Consider the following 18,170-nt stretch of genomic DNA (forward strand, 5'->3'; position numbering starts at 1 on the left):
AAGCTTCCGCCTTTGCACTGCTGCTTCCCTGTGGCAGTGGTGCCTGGGGTTCTAACAGCTCCTTCAGAATAAGTTTATCTAAGAAAGGATGCCATTGCTCATTGCTGTGAGTCTTAAAACTTTCTTGCCTGGACTGAAGTTACTAATTCTATCTCTGCCTCAGATTATCTGTGTGACTGTGTAATTCCACTCATCTCTCTAGGTCTCCATTTCCTTGTGTGAGAAATGAATGGCTTGAATTTCATTATCTCTAAAGTTCCCACTGGTTCAATGTGTCTGTGAAAATTAGAGAAGGCTATTTTTAAAAATTTTGAACTTTTAAGCTGCATTTTGGCATGTAAGCTCTTAGAACACTTCAAAACTAAAAAGAAATGAACAAATTCTATATATTTTATAAGAAATAATACATTGTAAGTTTTTTTCTTGCCTTTTCTAGGTCATTGTGGAAAGACATTTGCCATTTTGGAAAGATTTCTGAATCGTAGCCAGGACAAAACAGCATGGTTAGTCATTGTGGATGATGATACATTAATAAGGTAAGGAGTCATTCTCATCCTAAATGGCTTTAAATTCTACATATATTCATATTCAAAAAACTAGATGGGTACTTTTTCTGGCCAAGATGAAGTAACGGGGACGGGGTTTACCCTTCTATCTGAACCAATCCTCTTAAGGAACAAAATATATAAAACAAAGGTTTTTAACACACTGAATATTAGGTGCAAAGGAAAATGATCCAAAAGAAACATGAAGCAAATGAGGTGAGTTCTATGACTGCCAGAGCTGACTGCCTTAAGAGAATTCCAAGTTACTGCTTAGGGAGGGAGCACCAGATGGAACCTGACAGACTCTGTGGGCGGAAAAGATGGAGCTGAGAGTCTCAGGAGACCAAGGCTATTACAGTTTGCAGGACAGAGTACCAGAGAGGAGAGAGCTATACAGAAAGGGAACACTGGAGGTAGGTGAAGAGCCCCCTTATGTATTCAATAGAGTATTGATCAGTGCATATGTGTGAGGAAACTACCCGATGCTGGGGAAAGACCCAACCAGATTAGAGGGAATTGTGCCTGACACTCACACATGCCTGGGCTGGAAAACCCCTGTTCACAAGGTATTGAGAACAGCGTGTAAGAGGGTCTTGCCTCAATAGGGGGGATAGTTAACCCTAGACTAAGCACTTTTCCAGTCCTGCCTAACATATCTGAAAAGCAAGAAAATACAAGAAAATGAAACTGTTTCCAAGTAGTAGCCTGTGTCTGAGAACAAAACTCAAGAAGACTTACAGAAATACAAAAATAACCAACATCTAATAAAGTAAAATTCATAATATCTGCCATCCAATCAAAAGTTGCCAGGCATATAAAGCAGCAGGAAAATACAGAAGTGAAAAAAAATTAGCTTATTGAAATGGTTTCAGAATTTATACAAGGTTAGAATTAGAAGTTATTAAGCTGTTACTATTAAATAGTTATTATACCTCTATTCCATATGTTCAAAAAGACATGGAATGTCTCTTAGTCTTAAATAAGTTTAAATCATACCTCTAGAGATGAAAACTACATTCTTGATTGAGGTGAAAAACCCACTGGATGGGTTTAATAGCAAATTCATTTAAGAAGAAAGTATCAGTGAACTCGAAGACATTGCAATAATAACTATCCAAACTGAAACACAAAGATAAAAAATAATTTTAGAAAATTAACACCATCACTGAGCTGTGGGACAATTTCAGGTGGCCTTGAATATATGCAATTGAAATCTCCAAAGAGAAGGAGCACATAATTATTTAAAGAAATATTTTTCAAATTTAATGAAAACTGTAAACCCATAGATCCAAGAGTGTCAATGAACCCCAGGCACACCATAAGCACAAAAGCAGAGAACAGCCACCTCCAGGAATGCCATAATGGACACTTAGGACAGTACCCACTGCCCCACTCTAGGCAGCTGTGGAATTGAGGACTAGCATGCTTAACCCATTGTAGCTACCCACAACACCAACATGGACCTCTTGGGTCTCAGTGGGTTGCTCCACCACCACTACTGCCATCATTCACATCATACCAGCTGCTCAGGGGGCTAACAACTTGTCCACACACCTAGCCCACTGCTCTCATTACTAGCTTCTAAGCAAGCAGTTCACCTGCAGGCCCAAGAATCAGCCATTCAGAACTCTCTAACACCACAGCCAGCATAAGCTGCTTTAGGGCCTAAAAACAGGCATATTCACCCTTCTGCTGCCACCACTGGGGCCCAAAGACTGACTCAGTTGGCATCCAAGTCCCCAGCAAAATTTCACAGCTTCAGCTAATAACCATACCCTAAGCCACTGAGGAAATTACACATACCACGAACCTTGTGTACTACTGAAAAAGTCACACAAAGACCACACTACAACAGCACCAAAAATAAAAGCCAAGGTGTCTTACTTAACCAACAACATATATACATCTTCAGGAAAAATATTCTCCCCTACAAAAGCAATTTTTAAAAATTGGAACAACAATACCAGATATGCAGATATCAATGGAAGGAAACAGGAAACATGAAAAAGCAAGAAAATATGATACCAGTAAAGGACCACAACAATTTTCTGGGAACAGATCCCAATCAGTAAGAATTCCTGAAATAACAGATAAAGAATTCAAAATATTGATTTTAAAGAACCTCATTGAGGTACAAGAGAAATCTGAAAACCAGTACAAAAATAAGAAAATGAATTCAAGATGTGAATGAGAGATATACCAAGGAAATAGATATCTTTAATTTAAAAAACCAAACAGATTCTGGAACTGAAAATTCATTGAAGGAAATACAAAATACATTTGAAAGCTTTGGTAATAGACTAGACCAAGCAGAAGGAGGAATTTCAAAACTTGACGACAGATCTTTTGAAATAATTCAGCCACACAAAAATAAGGAAAAAATGAAAAAGAATGAAAACAGCCCTCAAGATGTCTAGGACTACACAAAATGACCAAACTTATAAATTATCAATATTTTTGAGGGGGAAGAGAGATCAAAAACTTTAGAAATCCTACTGAAGGACATAATTGATGAAAATGTCCCAAATGTAGCAAAAGAGTTAGATATTTAGATACAGGAGATCCAGTGATCTTCATGTAAATACATTGAAAAAAGGACTTCACATGGCATATTAGGACTTCACATGGCATATTATATTCAGAATGTTTAAATTCAAGTGAAAGAAAGAATCTTTAAAATTAGCAAGAGCAAAAGCATCAAGTCATGTATAAAGGACTAATAGTGGACTTTTCAGCAGAAACCTTATAGGCCAAAGAGAATGAGATGGCACTTTAGCCATCGTGCTAAAAGAAAAAAAAAAAGCTGTGAGCCAAGAATTTTATATCCTGCCAGAATAAGCCTTATAGATAAAGGGGAAATAATCTTTCCCAGACAAGGAAATGCTGAGGAAATTTGTCACCACTAGGTAGGGACAAAGCCTCACATATCAAGATTAACCTTGAATATAACTGGATTAAATGCTTCACTTAAAAGATACAGATTGCCAGAATGGATTTTTTTTATTGTTTTATCTGACATTTTCCAATAACATTGGTAGTTTTTTTTTTTTAATTATACTTTAAGTTCTGGGGTACATATGCAAAATGTGCAGGTTTGTTACATAGGTATACACGTGCCATGGTGGTTTGCTGCACTCATCAACCCATCATCTACATTAGGTATTTCTCCTAATGCTACCCCTCCCCTAGCCACCCCACCTTCCAACAGGCCCTGGTGTGTGATGTTCCCCTCCCTGTGTCCAGGTGTTCTCCTTGTTCAACTCCCACTTATGACTGAGAACATGTGGCGTTTGGTTTTCTGTTCCTGTATTAGTTTGCTGAGAATGATGGTTTCCAGATTCATCCATGTCCGTGCAGAAGATGAACTCATGCTTTTTTATGGCTGCATAGTATTCCATGGTGTTTATGTGCCACATTTTCTTTATCCAGTCTGTCACCGATGGGCATTTGGGTTGGTTCCAAGTCTTTGCTATTGTGAATAGTGCTGCAGTAAACATGTGTGCATGTGTCTTTACAGTGGAATGACTTATAATCCTTTGGATATATACCCAATAATGGGATTGCTAGGTCAAATGGTATTTCTAGTTCTAGATCCTTGAGGGATCGCCACACTGTCTTCCACAATGGTTGAACTAATTTACACTCCCACCAGCAGTGTAAAAGTGTTCCTATTTTTCCACATCCTCTCCAGCATCTGTTGTTTCCTGACTTTTAATGATTGCCATTCTAACTGGCGTGAGATGGTATCTCATTGTGGTTTTGATTTGCATTTCTGTAATGACCAGTGATGAGCTTTTTTTCATATGTTTGTTGGCCACATAAATGTCTTCTTTTGAGAAGCGTCTGTTCATATCCTTTGTCCACTTTTTGATGGGGTTGTTTGTATTTTTCTTGTAAATTTGTTTAAGTTCTTTGTAGATTCTGGATATTAGCTCTTTGTCAGATGGATAGATTGCAAAAATTTTCTCCCATTCTGTAGGTTGCCTGTTCACTCTGATGATAGTTTCTTTTGCTGTGCAGTAGCTCTTTAGTTTAATTGGATCCTGTTTGTCAATTTTGGCTTTTGTTGCCGTTGCCTTTGAGGTTTTAGTCACGAAGTCTTTGCCCATGCCTATGTCCTGAATGGTATTGCCTAGGTGTTCTTCTAGACTCTTTATGGTTTTAGGTCTTACATGTAACTCTTTAATCCATTTTAATTTTTGTATAAGGTGTAAGAAAGGTTTTCTGCATATGGCTAGCCAGTTTTCTCAACACCACTTATTAAATAGAGAATCCTTTCCCCATTGCTTGTTTTCGTCAGGTTTGTCAAAGATCTGATGGTTGTAGATGTGTGGCATTATTTCTGAGGCCTCTGTTCTATTCCATTGGTCTGTATATCTGTTTTGGTACCAGTACCATGCTGTTTTGGTTACTGTGGCCTTGTAGTATAGTTTGAAGTCAGGTAGCCTGATGCCTCCAGCTTTGTTCTTTTTGCTTTGGATTGTCTTTTTTTGTTCCATATGAAATTTAAAATAGTTTTTTCTAATTCTGTGAAGAAAGTCAATGGTAGCTTGATGGGGATTGCATTGAATCTGTAAATTACTTTGGTCAGTATGGCCGTTTTCACAATACTGATTCTTCCTATCCATGACCATGGAATGTTTTTTCATTTGTTTGTGTCCTCTCATTTCCTGAGCAGTGGTTTGTAGTTCTCCTTGAAGAGGTCTTTCAGATCCCTTGTAAGTTGGATTCCTAGGTATTTTATTCTTGTTGTAGCAATTGTGAATGGCAGTTCACTCGTGATTTGCTTCTCTATTATTGGTGTATAGGAATGCTTGTGATTTTCGCACATTGATTTTGTATCCTGAGACTTTGCTGAAGTTGCTTATCAGCTTAAGGAGATTTTGGGCTGAGATGATGGATTTTCTAAATATATGATCATGTCATCTGCAAACAGAGACAATCTGACTTCCTCTCTTCCTATTTGAATATCCATTATTTCTTTCTCTTCCTTATTGCCCTGGCCAGAACTTCCAATACTGTGTTGAATAGGAGTGGTGAGAGAGGGCATCCTTGTCTTCTGCCAGTTTTCAAAGGGAATGCTTCCAGTTTTTGCCCATTCAGTATGATATTGGCTGTGGGTTTGTCATAAATAGCTCTTATTATTTTGAGATACATTTCATCAATACCTAGTTTATTGGGTGTTTTTAGCATGAAGGGGTGTTGAATTTTATCGAAGGCCTTTTTGCATCTATTGAGATAATCATGTGGTTTTTGTCATTGGTTCTGTTTATGTAATGGATTACATTTATTGTTTTGCATGTGTTGAACCCGTCCTGCATCCCAGGTATGAAGCTGACTTGATCATGGTAGACAAGGTTTTTGATGTGCTGCTGGATTTGGTTTGCCAGTATTTTACTGAGGATTTTCACATCAACGTTCATCAGGGATATTGGTCTGAAATTTTTTTTCTTGTGTCTCTGCCAGGTTTTAGTATCAGAATGAGGCTGGCCTTATAAAATGAGTTAGGGAGGATTCCCTCTCTTTTTATTGTTTGGAATAGTTTCAGAAGGAGTGGTACCAGCTCCTCTTTGTATCTCTAGTGGAATTCGGCTGTGAGTCTGTCTGGTTCTGGGCTTTGTTTGGTTGGTAGGCTATTAATTATTGCCTCAATTTCAGAACTTGTTATTGGTCTATTCAGGGATTTTACCTCTTCCTGGTTTAGTCTTGGGAGGGTGTAGGTGTCCAGGAATTTATCCATTTCTTCTAGATTTTCTAGTTTATTTGTGTAGAGGTGTTTATAGTATTATCTGATGGTAGTTTGTATTTCTGTGGGATCAGTGGTTATATCCCCTTTATCATTTTTTATAGTTTCTATTTTATTCTTCTCTCTTTTTTTTTTCTTTATTAGTCTAGCTAGCAGTCAATTTTGTTAATCTTTTCAAAAAACCAGCTCCTGGATTCATTGATTTTTTAGAGTTTTTTTGTGTCTCTGTCTCCTTCAGTTCTGCTCTGATCTTAGTTATTTCTTGTCTTCTGCTAGCTTTTGACTTTGTCTGCTCTTTCTTCTCTAGTTCTTTTAATTGTGATGTTAGGATGTTAATTTTAGATCTTTCTCACCCTCTCCTGTGGGCATTTAGTGCTATAAATTTCCCGCTAAACACTGCTTTAGCTGTGTCCCAGAGGTTCTGGTACATTGTGTGTTTGTTCTCATTGGTTCCAAAGAACTTATTTCTGCCTAAATTTCATTACTTACCCATAGTCATTCAGGAGCACATTGTTCAGTTTCCATGCAGTTTTGCGGTTTTGAGTGAGTTTCTTAAATCCTAAGTTCTAATTTGATTTCACTGTAGTCTGAGAGACTGTTATGATTTCTGTTCTTTTACATTTGCTGAGGAGTGTTTTACTTCCAATTATGTGGTCAGTTTTAGAATAAGTGTGATGTGGTGCTGTGAAGAATGTATATTCTGTTGATTTGGGGTGGAGAGTTCTGTAGATGTCTATTAGGTCTGCTTGGTCCAGAGCTGAGTTCAAGTCCTGAATATCCTTGTTAATTTTCTGTCTCGTTGATCTGTCTAATATTGACAGTGGGGTGTTAAAGCCTCCCACTATTATTGTGTGGGAGTCTAAGTCTCTTTGTAGGTCTTTAAGAACTTGCTTTATGAATCTGGATGCTCCGGTATTGGGTGCATATATATTTAGGATAGTTAGCTCTTCTTTTTGCATTGATCCCTTTACCATTATGTAATGCCCTTCTTTGTCTTTTTTGATCTTTGTTGGTTTAAAGATCTGTTTTATCAGATAGTAGGATTGCAACCCTTGCTCTCTTTTTTTGCTTTCCATTTTCTTGATAAATCTTCCTCCATTCCTTTATTTTGAGCCTATGGGTGTCTTTGCACATGAGATGAGTCTCCTGAATACAGCACTCCAATGGGTCTTGACTCTTTTATCCAATTTGCCAGTCTGTGTCTTTTAAATGGAGCATTTAGCCCATTTACATTTAAGGTTAATATTGTTATGTGTGAATTTGATTCTGTCATTATGATGCTAGCTGGTTATTTTGCCAGTTAGTTGATGCAGTTTCTTCATAGTGTCGAAGGTCTTTACAATTTGATATGTTTTTGCAGTGGCTGGTACCGCTTTTTCCTTTCCATATTTAGTGCTTCCTTCAGGAGCTCTTGTAAGGAAGGCCTTGTGGTGGCAAAATCTCTCAGCATTTGCTTGTTTGTAAAGGATTTTATTTCTCTTTCGCTTATGAAGTTTAGTTTGGCTGGATATGAAATTCTGGGTTGAAAATTCTTTTCTTTAAGAATGTTGAATATTGGCACCCATTCTCTTCTTGTGGCTTATAGGGTTTCTGCTGGGAGATCCGCTGTTTGTCTGATGGACTTCCCTTTGTGGGTGACCCGACGTTTCTCTCTGGCTGCCTTTAACATTTTTTCCTTCATTTCAACCTTGGTGAATCTGACGATTATGTGTCTTAGGGTTGCTCTTCCTGATGAGTATCTTTGTGGTGTTCTCTGTATTTCCTGAGTTTGAATGTTAGCTTGTCTTGCTAGGTTGGGGAAGTTCTCTTGGATAATATCCTGAAGAGTGTTTTCCAACTTGGTTCCATTCTCCCCATCACTTTCAGGTACAGCAATCAAACGTAGATTTGGTCTTTTCACATAGTCCCATATTTCTTGGAGGCTTTGTTCATTTTTCATTCTTTTTTCTCTAATCTTGTCTTCACACTTTATTTCAGTAAGTTGGTCTTCAATCCTTGCTATCCTTTCTTCCACTTGATCGATTAGGCTGTTGATACTTGTGTGTGCTTCACAAAGTTCTCATGCTGTGTTTTTCAGCTCCATCAGGTTATTTCTGTTCTTCTCTAAACTGGTTATTCTAGTTAGCAATTCGTCTAACCTTTTTTCAAGGTTCTTAGCTTCCTTGCATTGGATTAGAACATGCTCCTTTAACTCGGAGGAGTTTGTTATTACCCACCTTCTGAAGTCTACTTCTGTCAGTTCGTCATACTCATTCTCTGTCCAGTTTTGTTCCCTTGCTGGTGAAGAGTTGTTATCCTTGGGAGAAGAGGCATTCTGGTTTTTTTTTTGGAATTTTCAGCCATTTTGCACTGGTTTTTCCTCATCTTCGTGGATTTATCCACCTTTGGTCTTTGATGTTGGTGACCTTTGAATGGGGTTTTGTGTGGACGTCCTTTTTTTTTGATGCTGATGCTATTCCTTTCTGTTTGTTAGTTATCCTTCTAACAGTCAGGCCTCTCTACTGTAGGTCTGCTCGAGTTTGCTGGACGTTCACTCCAGACCCCATCTGCCTGGGTATTACCAGTGGAGGCTGCAGAACAGCAAAGATTGCTGCCTTTTCCTTCCTTTGGAAGCTTTGTCCCAGACGGGCACGCGCCAGATGTCAGCTGGAGCTCTGCTGTATGAGGAGTCTGTCGGCCCCTCCTGGGAGGTGTCTCCCAGTCAGGAGGCACAGGGTTCAGGGACCCACTTGAGGAGGGAGTCTGTCCCTTAGCAGAGCTCCAGTGCTGTGCTGGGAGATCCACTGCTCTCTTCAGAGCCGGCAGGCATGAACGTTTAAGTCTGCTGAAGCTGTGCCCACTGCCACCCCTTCCCCCAGGTGCTCTGTCCCAGGGAGGTGGGAGTTTTATGTATAAGCCCCTGACTGGGCATCTGCCTTTCATTTAGAGATCCCCTGCCCAGAGAGGAGGAATCTAGAGAGGCAGTCTGGCTACAGCAGCTTTGCCTAGCTGTGGTGGCCTCCACCCAGTTAGAACTTTTAGACAGCTTTGTTTATACTCTGAGGGGAAAACTGCCTACTCAAGCCTCAGTAATGGCAGATGCCCCTCCCCCCACCAAGCTCGAGCATCCCAGGGGGACTTCAGACTGCTGTGCTGGCAGCGAGGATTTCCAGCCAGTGGATCTTAGCTTGCTGGGCTCCGTGGGGGTGGGGTTCGCTGAGCTAGACTACTTGGCTCCCTTGCTTTAACCCCCTTTCCAGGGGAGTGAACAGTTCTGTCTCACTGGCATTCCAGGCACCACTGGGGTATAAAAAAACTCCTGCAGCTATCTCAATGTCTGCCCAAATGGCTGCCCAGTTTTGTGTGTGAAACCCAGGGACCTGGTGGTATAGGTACCTGAGGGAATATCCTGGTCTGCAGGTTGTGAAGACCGTGGGACAAGTGTAGGATCTGGGCTGGAATGCACCATTCCTCATAGCACAGTCCCTCTTGACTTCTCTTGGCTAGGTGAGGGAGTTCCCCGTCCCCTTGTGCTTCCCAGGTAAGGCGACGCACCCACTGTTTCTGCTCGCCCTCTGTGGGCTCCACCCACTGTCCAACCAGTCCCAATGAGATGCACCAGGTACCTCAGTTGGAAATGCAGAAATCACCTGCCTTCTGCATTGATCTCACTGGGAGCTGCAGACCGGAGCTGTTCCTATTTGGCCATCTTGCCAGCCATCTCCTGTTTTGTTTTGTTTTGTTTGATAATTATTTCTCATAGTTCTGGAGGGCTAGAAGCCTGAGATCAGGGTGCCAGCATGGTTGGGTTCTAGTGAGGGCTCTCTTGGGTTGCAGGCTGCTGACTTCTTGTATCTTCAAATGGTGGAAAGAGAGCAAGCTAGCTCTGTGGCCTCTTCTCAGAAGGGCATGAATCCCATTTATGAGGTCTCCACCCTCGTGATCTCTTCACCCTCCCAAAAGGTCCCACCTCTAAATAGCTTCATATTGGGGATTAGATTTCAACATATGATAAAATTTGGGGGGAACACAAACATTCATTTCATAACAGCTACTAGTCTTCTCTTAGTATAGATTATCAAATACTAAGAAAAAGAAGGGTCTATTTTTCAATAGAGATGATGGAGAAATACTGTAAAATTATGTAACATTTTTTTTTTATCACCATCTGGTTCATCCACCATATGTTTCTTTTTCCTTTTTTTTTTAATTGTGGTAAAGTACACACAACTTCAAATTTACCATCATAACCATTTTTAAGTATACAGTTTAGTAGTATTAAATACATGCATAATGTTGTGCAGCCATCTGCATAACTCTTTTCATCTTGTAAAACTGAACCTCTATATCCATTAAAAAATAACTCTCTATACTCCCCTAACCCCATCCCCTGGCAACCATCATTCTATTTTCTGCCTCTATGATTTTGACTACTCTCAGTACCTCATATAAATGGAATCATACAGTACTTGTTTTTTTTTTTTGTGACTTGCTTATTTTACTTAGCATAATGTCTTCGAAATTTATCCGTGTTGTAGCATATTGCAGAATTTCCTTCCTATTTAAGGCTGAATAACATTCCTTGGATACAGTATGGATAGACCATATTTTGCTTATCCATTCATCTGTTGATGGACACTCCATCAACATGGGGTTGTGGGTATGCACCCAGAAATTGAATGACTAGATCATATGGTAATTCTATTTATAATGGAACCATCACACTGTTTTCCCATAGAGGTTGTTCCATTTTACATTCCTACCAGAAGTGCACAAGGTTTCCAGTTTCTCCACATCCTTGTCAACCCCATTATTTTCTGGGTTTTTTTTTTTTTTTTTTTGATAGTCGCTATTCTAGTGGGTGTGAATTTTGATTTGCATTTCCCTAATGATTAGTTGGTTAGGAAAAAACTGAGCTATTTTCCCCTCTGTTCTCACACTGCAATAATCATCAACACAGAAGACAACTTCCGTGACCAAAAGTGTGGAGCAGGGAGAGTTCTCCTACCCACCAAGCAATCAATCAGTTCTGCAGTGGACACCAAATGGGTGTCCTTTAATTCAATTTTAACACTGTCTACCTGGAGATAGTGCCAATTCCCACAGTTTGAGGGCTCAGTCCCCAAGACTGCCCTACCACCCCATACACCAGACACCAGTCATTAAGTCCAGGCGTCCAGAACTTCTGACTGATGAGCTTCACGTCGGGGTTCTTACAACCTCCTCTGTGGGTTTATTTAATTTGCTAGAGTGGCTCTCAGAACTCAGGGAAATACTTTCTCACATTTACCAGTTTATTATAAAGGATATTACAAAGATACAGATGAAGAGATGTGTAGGGTGAGGTATGAGAGAAGGGGTGTGGAGCTTCCATGCCCTCCAGGAACTCCACATGTTCAGATATTCTAAAGCTCTCTGAAGCCTGCTCTCTTGGGGTTTATGAAGGCTTCATTATATAGCCACGATTGATTAAACCATTGGCCACTGATGATCAACTTGACTTTCAGCTGCTTTCCCCTCCCAGGAGATTGGGGGGTGGGACTGAAAGTCCCAACTCTCTAATCATGCCTTTGCCTTTCTGGTGACCAGTCCCATCTTGAAGCTGTCGGTATACGTTAGCCTACAAAAAGATAGCAATTTGGACGTTCCAAAGATTTTAGGATTGGTATGTCAGCAAATGGGTGATGAAAACCAAATATATATTTCATAATATCACAGCCTACCCTCGTTCTTCAGATACCTTACATCAAAAGAACATACAACTCAAAAGATATTGCCACATTAGAGTCTCATTCCATCATTAATAACTAGTCTAGTCCACTATATTGTATTAATGTTTCCCAGAGTGAGTCCACTCAGGTTTGCAGGCTTCCCTTCAATCTTGTCAGGTTCCAAAGCTGGAGCGGTCTTGGCAAACAAATAGCTTTACCTTTTTAGATATCTGTTATAATTGAGCTGAGAGACAATGTCATCTGTTTCTCTAAGGGTCTTTCAAGGTGTTAATGTAATGTTGGATTTCCCTCAATTTATAACCCATTATTCATTCCTTTACCCTCAACTACTATTTCTCTTTCTCTCCGTTAATACCCAAATGTTTCCACCTTTGGAAGAGACATCAGAATCACTACCGTTCTGGTTTAGACTGCAGGCAACAATGCTAGTCTAGCAGGTACCTTCTCCTCAGCCTACTCCCATGCAGATAGGGTAAAGTTATGTAGGTGCAAAGCTAGTGGGTTATTTTTACCACCAGGCAATATAGCTGCATTCACTCTTAGCCCCAGCTTTGCTAAGCGGGGTGAAGGAGCAACACAGTCACATCAGGCCCTAAGGAATTTTGACATAAGCTTTAAAAACATAGTTATGGTTTTTTGCTTAGAAATCAGCCCTGCTTCCAGCACTGGCAGTTGCAGGCCTGGTCCTAGGGCCACTACGTCAAGTAGGAGGGAAAGAAAAGGTTTTAGTGATCTGATTTAGGGAAGAAAGAAAAAATGATCATTATTCCAACGTACTCCTGCCTTGGCAAGATTTGCATAGTCACCCGAGCATCCTCTTCACCCCTTCTTCTCCAGACCAGCCTTAGAAAAACAGGAACATCTAGTGGGCAGACTCCTTTAGTCCCACTCATGTTGAGTATGAGCACACACTCTTGAAGGCATGTAAGCCAGCCTTTTATGTTTCCAGTGTTTTAATTACCTGTTCTATTCATCTATCAAACTATGACTCTGAGGAGACTATCTCTGTGCCCATTGTTGGACATCATAGGCTGTACAGTGTGTTCCTTGGTCTGAAGAAATGACGATTGGCCATACAAATCCATGCAATATCTTCTGTTTAGTTGTTTTTTTAATGGTACTCAGAGTATTTGCATGTTCCACTGAGTAAGCAAAAGCCATGCCAGAGTCATTGTCTATTCCTGTCAAGACCCATTTGTAGCCCCATAGGGCCACTAGCACCAGTCTCTGTATTGCCAGCTTTGTTTAGGACCTTTGCACCAGGGAATCTGCCCCATAGCCATTATCAGTCTCTGCCTTTTTTTCTGGTGGAGAGAACAGTTCTTATTGGCATTTTGTGCCTGAGAGGATGCAAAAGGAACATGTCTAGATTCAGCCCATCTCTGCCTGCTGCCGTACCCCCATATCCACTAATTTCATGGATCCAGGTGACCACCTCAAGGAAGTCCACAGGGATACCTGCTTGTCAATTCCATTCACCTTCCAAACCTGGAAAGGGGCTCTTCTGATTGACATTGACTTGTTCTACTTTAATGCACCCCTCAAATGTCCATGGGGCCATGCTTCATATGGGCATCCTTTTAATAGGCCAAGTATCCATTGCCCTCTTGCCTAACTGTATGGGCAGGCAATTGGTCACTGCCTATGAGTTAGTAAAATCCTAAACACAAGTGTTTCTACCACTGTTCAATTCTTCCATTACTGTTAGGAAAATGCATCCAATACAGCCCACTGAGATTATTTGTTTTTACCTCCTTTGGTCAAAATAGCAGACTTCCAAACAGGATGGTATTCATTTACCCTGGTATTGAATTGCCATCCTCAAACCAAGTAGCTCTTGGTTGGTCAGTCAAGAGCTGCTTACAGGGTAGTGTAGAATCCAGTGGCTCCTCACATAGTTCCAGAGTCAGTTTTAGGGGAAAAGAGTCCCTCTGTTTGTGAGGATCTCCTCCTTGCATTCCCCAGGTAGCACGATCATGTATAAATTCTGTTTGATAATGGAATGGGCATTGCCTCCCTTACTAAAGTGTTCCTCTGACATCACCCAAAACAGCATGGGCATTTCAGATATAAATGTAATTGCCCGATGTGTTCTTCCTGCCTGCTGCACAGATAAAACCAGTTCATTAAGACTGTAATATTGCAGTAAAGAGTTTAATTAATGCAAGACTGGCCAAGTGGAAGGACTGGAGTTATTACTTAAAGTAGTCTCACTGAGAACTCAGAGACTAGGGTTTTTTGGATAATTGGGTGGGCAGGGGGCTAGGGAATGGTTACTGCTGATGGGTTGGGAATGAAGTCCTAGGGATGTGGAAACCGGTCCTTGTACAATGAATCTGGCTTTGGTTGGGGACCACAGGACTGGTTGAGTCATGAGTCATGGGTCTGAGTGGGTTCAGTTGGTTACCAGAAGGCAAAAATCTGAAAAACATCTCAAAAGACCAATCTTAGGTTCTACAATAGTAACGTTATCTATAGGAGCAATTGGGGAAGTGTCAAATCTTGTGACCTCTGTCCACATGATTCTTGAGCAGTAAGGGATGATAAAAAATACACTTTAGCAAAGTTCAGGCCCCTCCCCTGATCCTAATCTTGTGGTCTTTCATTAGTTTTTGGTCCCTGAGCAAGGAGGAGATTAGTTTTAGGGAGAGACTGTTAGCATCCTTCCTTCCAAGTTAAACTATAAACTAAATTCCTGCCATGATTAGCTTGACCTACGCCCAGGAATGAGTGAAGACAGCCAGCCTGTGAGACTAGAAGCAAGATGGAGTCAGCCAAGCTAAATTTCTCTCACTGTCATAATCTTTGCAAAGGGGGTTTCATCAAGATCACTTTATGTCCTTTAGTCATAGGAGTAGCCTCAGTTAATGTCCTGTAGCAAGGAAGTAAATGCCCTTCAAGTGGAAATTCTCTAGTTCAAAGTCCTAGTAGTCATTGCTGGGAGGCACTCACAAACCTTTGCCATAAGCCCCAGGAGGTACTCTGCAGAGGGGGCTATCAAATGGGGAAGTTGTCCCCACCAGCTCTTCAGTTTCTGTTCTGCACTATGTGGGCCTGGGCAGTCTTAACTGGTTCCAATTTTAGCAAGTTCCATTAATACTGCTCAAAGGATTTACATATCTTCTGTTTTACAGTACTGGATAGGGGGAACATTTCCCAGTCAGATAAAATGTCTCTTCCCATAATGCAGTCAGGTAAAAGAGATAAAACCATTTCACATGAAGTATGTTCAAATATGGCAGCTTTCATAATCCTAACAACCGTTACACTTTTATGTTCTAGTCCCAGGAATTTCCCCTTTTCATCCCCAGATCATTTTACCCTTTCTTCTGCAAAAGGCTTTGGGTCCCCAGCCTGGAGTCCCACCAGGAGACCCTGGCCTCTCTCTTAATTGTTACCTTGATTAACCAGTCTAACAGGTAATTATAGATGGGGTTTCTCATTTTAATCTTTATCTTCTTGTCTTTAAAAGTTCTCCAAACTGGGGGAAATGCAGCAAACTGGTTTGGGCCCTTAAATGTTGAGAGATCAGCCAGGGGTCCCTTTCCTCCACTCAGTCTTTAATAATGTTGTATTAAGACTTTTGTTTTAACCCCATCAATTTCTACTTTATTCATTCCATTTTTTAATAACCACCTAAATATGTCCACCCTCCTGGGGTGAGTCCCATGGCTCTCCCCTTTCTTTTTCCTCTTACTTTCATTCCTATGAATGTTTTCTGTATTCATCTTATTTCTTACAAACCATTTAAAAATTTCCACCTCCCAGGATGAGTCCTTTGACTCTCCCCTCTCCCCTTCATCATTTTCTTGTTAATTAACCTAATGTCTTTATTAGCATCTGTAAGACCTCAAGGTAAAGCTTAGACCACAAATTTGATAAGGCTTCTGGAACTGTCTTGGTTTTGCAGCAGTAAGTTTATATGAGGTGCCTATGCAAAATGGGCCCCTTTAACAACAACATGTACCATGGCCTGGATAACGGTCATATTCAGTGGGTGAATATCCCAGTTATCATAAAGCTAGTCCCGGGGAGGAGCCAAGATGGCCGAATAGGAACAGCTCCGGTCTACAGCTCCCAGCGTGAGCGACGCAGAAGACGGGTGATTTCTGCATTTCCATCTGAGGTACCGGGTTCATCTCACTAGGGAGTGCCAGACAGTGGGCGCAGGCCAGTGTGTGTGCGCACCGTGCGCGAGCCGAAGCAGGGCGAGGCATTGCCTCACCTGGGAAGCGCAAGGGGTCAGGGAGTTCCCTTTCCGAGTCAAAGAAAGGGGTGACGGACGCACCTGGAAAATCGGGTCACTCCCACCCGAATATTGCGCTTTTCAGACCGGCTTAAGAAACGGCGCACCACGAGACGATATCCCACACCTGGCTCAGAGGGTCCTACGCCCACGGAATCTCGCTGATTGCTAGCACAGCAGTCTGAGATCAAACTGCAAGGCGGCAACGGGGCTGGGGGAGGGGCGCCCGCCATTGCCCAGGCTTGCTTAGGTAAACAAAGCAGCCGGGAAGCTCGAACTGGGTGGAGCCCACCACAGCTCAAGGAGGCCTGCCTGCCTCTGTAGGCTCCACCTCTGGGGGCAGGGCACAGACAAACAAAAAGACAGCAGTAACCTCTGCAGACTTAAGTGTCCCTGTCTGACAGCTTTGAAGAGAGCAGTGGTTCTCCCAGCACTCAGCTGGAGATCTGAGAACGGGCAGACTGCCTCCTCAAGTGGGTCCCTGACCCCTGACCCCCGAGCAGCCTAACTGGGAGGCACCCCCCAGCAGGGGCACACTGACACCTCACATGGCAGGGTATTCCAACAGACCTGCAGCTGAGGGTCCTGTCTGTTAGAAGGAAAACTAACAACCAGAAAGGACATCTACACCGAAAACCCATCTGTACATCACCATCATCAAAGACCAAAAGTAGATAAAACCACAAAGATGGGGAAAAAACAGAACAGAAAAACTGGAAACTCTAAAACGCAGAGTGCCTCTCCTCCTCCAAAGGAACGCAGTTCCTCACCAGCAACAGAACAAAGCTGGATGGAGAATGATTTTGACGAGCTGAGAGAAGAAGGCTTCAGACGATCAAATTACTCTGAGCTACGGGAGGACATTCAAACCAAAGGCAAAGAAGTTGAAAACTTTGAAAAAAATTTAGAAGAATGTATAACTAGAATAACCAATACAGAGAAGTGCTTAAAGGAGCTGATGGAGCTGAAAACCAAGGCTCGAGAACTACGTGAAGAATGCAGAAGCCTCAGGAGCCGATGCGATCAACTGGAAGAAAGGGTATCAGCAATGGAAGATGAAATGAATGAAATGAAGCGAGAAGGGAAGTTTAGAGAAAAAAGAATAAAAAGAAATGAGCAAAGCCTCCAAGAAATATGGGACTATGTGAAAAGACCAAATCTACGTCTGATTGGTGTACCTGAAAGTGATGTGGAGAATGGAACCAAGTTGGAAAACACTCTGCAGGATATTATCCAGGAGAACTTCCCCAATCTAGCAAGGCAGGCCAACGTTCAGATTCAGGAAATACAGAGAACGCCACAAAGATACTCCTCGAGAAGAGCAACTCCAAGACACATAATTGTCAGATTCACCAAAGTTGAAATGAAGGAAAAAATGTTAAGGGCAGCCAGAGAGAAAGGTCGGGTTACCCTCAAAGGAAAGCCCATCAGACTAACAGCGGATCTCTCGGCAGAAACCCTACAAGCCAGAAGAGAGTGGGGGCCAATATTGAACATTCTTAAAGAAAAGAATTTTCAACCCAGAATTTCATATCCAGCCAAACTAAGCTTCATAAGTGAAGGAGAAATAAAATACTTTATAGACAAGCAAATGCTGAGAGATTTTGTCGCCACCAGGCCTGCCCTAAAAGAGCTCCTGAAGGAAGCGCTAAACATGGAAAGGAACAACCGGTACCAGCCGCTGCAAAATCATGCCAAAATGTAAAGACCATCGAGACTAGGAAGAAACTGCATCAACTAATGAGCAAAATCACCAGCTAACATCATAATGACAGGATCAAATTCACACATAACAATATTAACTTTAAATATAAATTGACTAAATTCTGCAATTAAAAGACACAGACTGGCAAGTTGGATAAAGAGTCAAGACCCATCAGTGTGCTGTATTCAGGAAACCTATCTCACGTGCAGAGACACAC

The 18,170-nt window shown here is 41.5% G+C and overlaps 1 protein-coding gene across 5 annotated transcripts in view, besides 1 other annotated feature; it reads left to right on the plus strand.

The window, feature by feature from the left end:
* Window positions 1-18,170, plus strand: part of B3GLCT (beta 3-glucosyltransferase) — a 132,302-nt gene that overhangs the window by 86,309 nt on the left and 27,823 nt on the right. For all 5 annotated transcript variants that reach the window (NM_194318.4, XM_011534936.2, XM_006719768.4 and 2 more), the window contains one exon: window positions 437-536. In NM_194318.4, the coding sequence (NP_919299.3) occupies window positions 437-536 (100 nt within the window). The remainder of the gene's footprint in view (window positions 1-436; window positions 537-18,170) is intronic.
* Window positions 15,690-16,302: an enhancer, noted in NCBI's record as "H3K27ac-H3K4me1 hESC enhancer chr13:31876110-31876722 (GRCh37/hg19 assembly coordinates)". NCBI's record gives its function as "activates a minimal SCP1, AML or CMV promoter by ChIP-STARR-seq in primed H9 embryonic stem cells {active_cell/tissue: H9 hESC(primed)}" and the evidence as "EXISTENCE:reporter gene assay evidence [ECO:0000049][PMID:30033119]".

This window comes from Homo sapiens, chromosome 13 (genome assembly GCF_000001405.40).
Source record: "Homo sapiens chromosome 13, GRCh38.p14 Primary Assembly".
Taxonomy (NCBI): domain Eukaryota; kingdom Metazoa; phylum Chordata; class Mammalia; order Primates; family Hominidae; genus Homo; species Homo sapiens.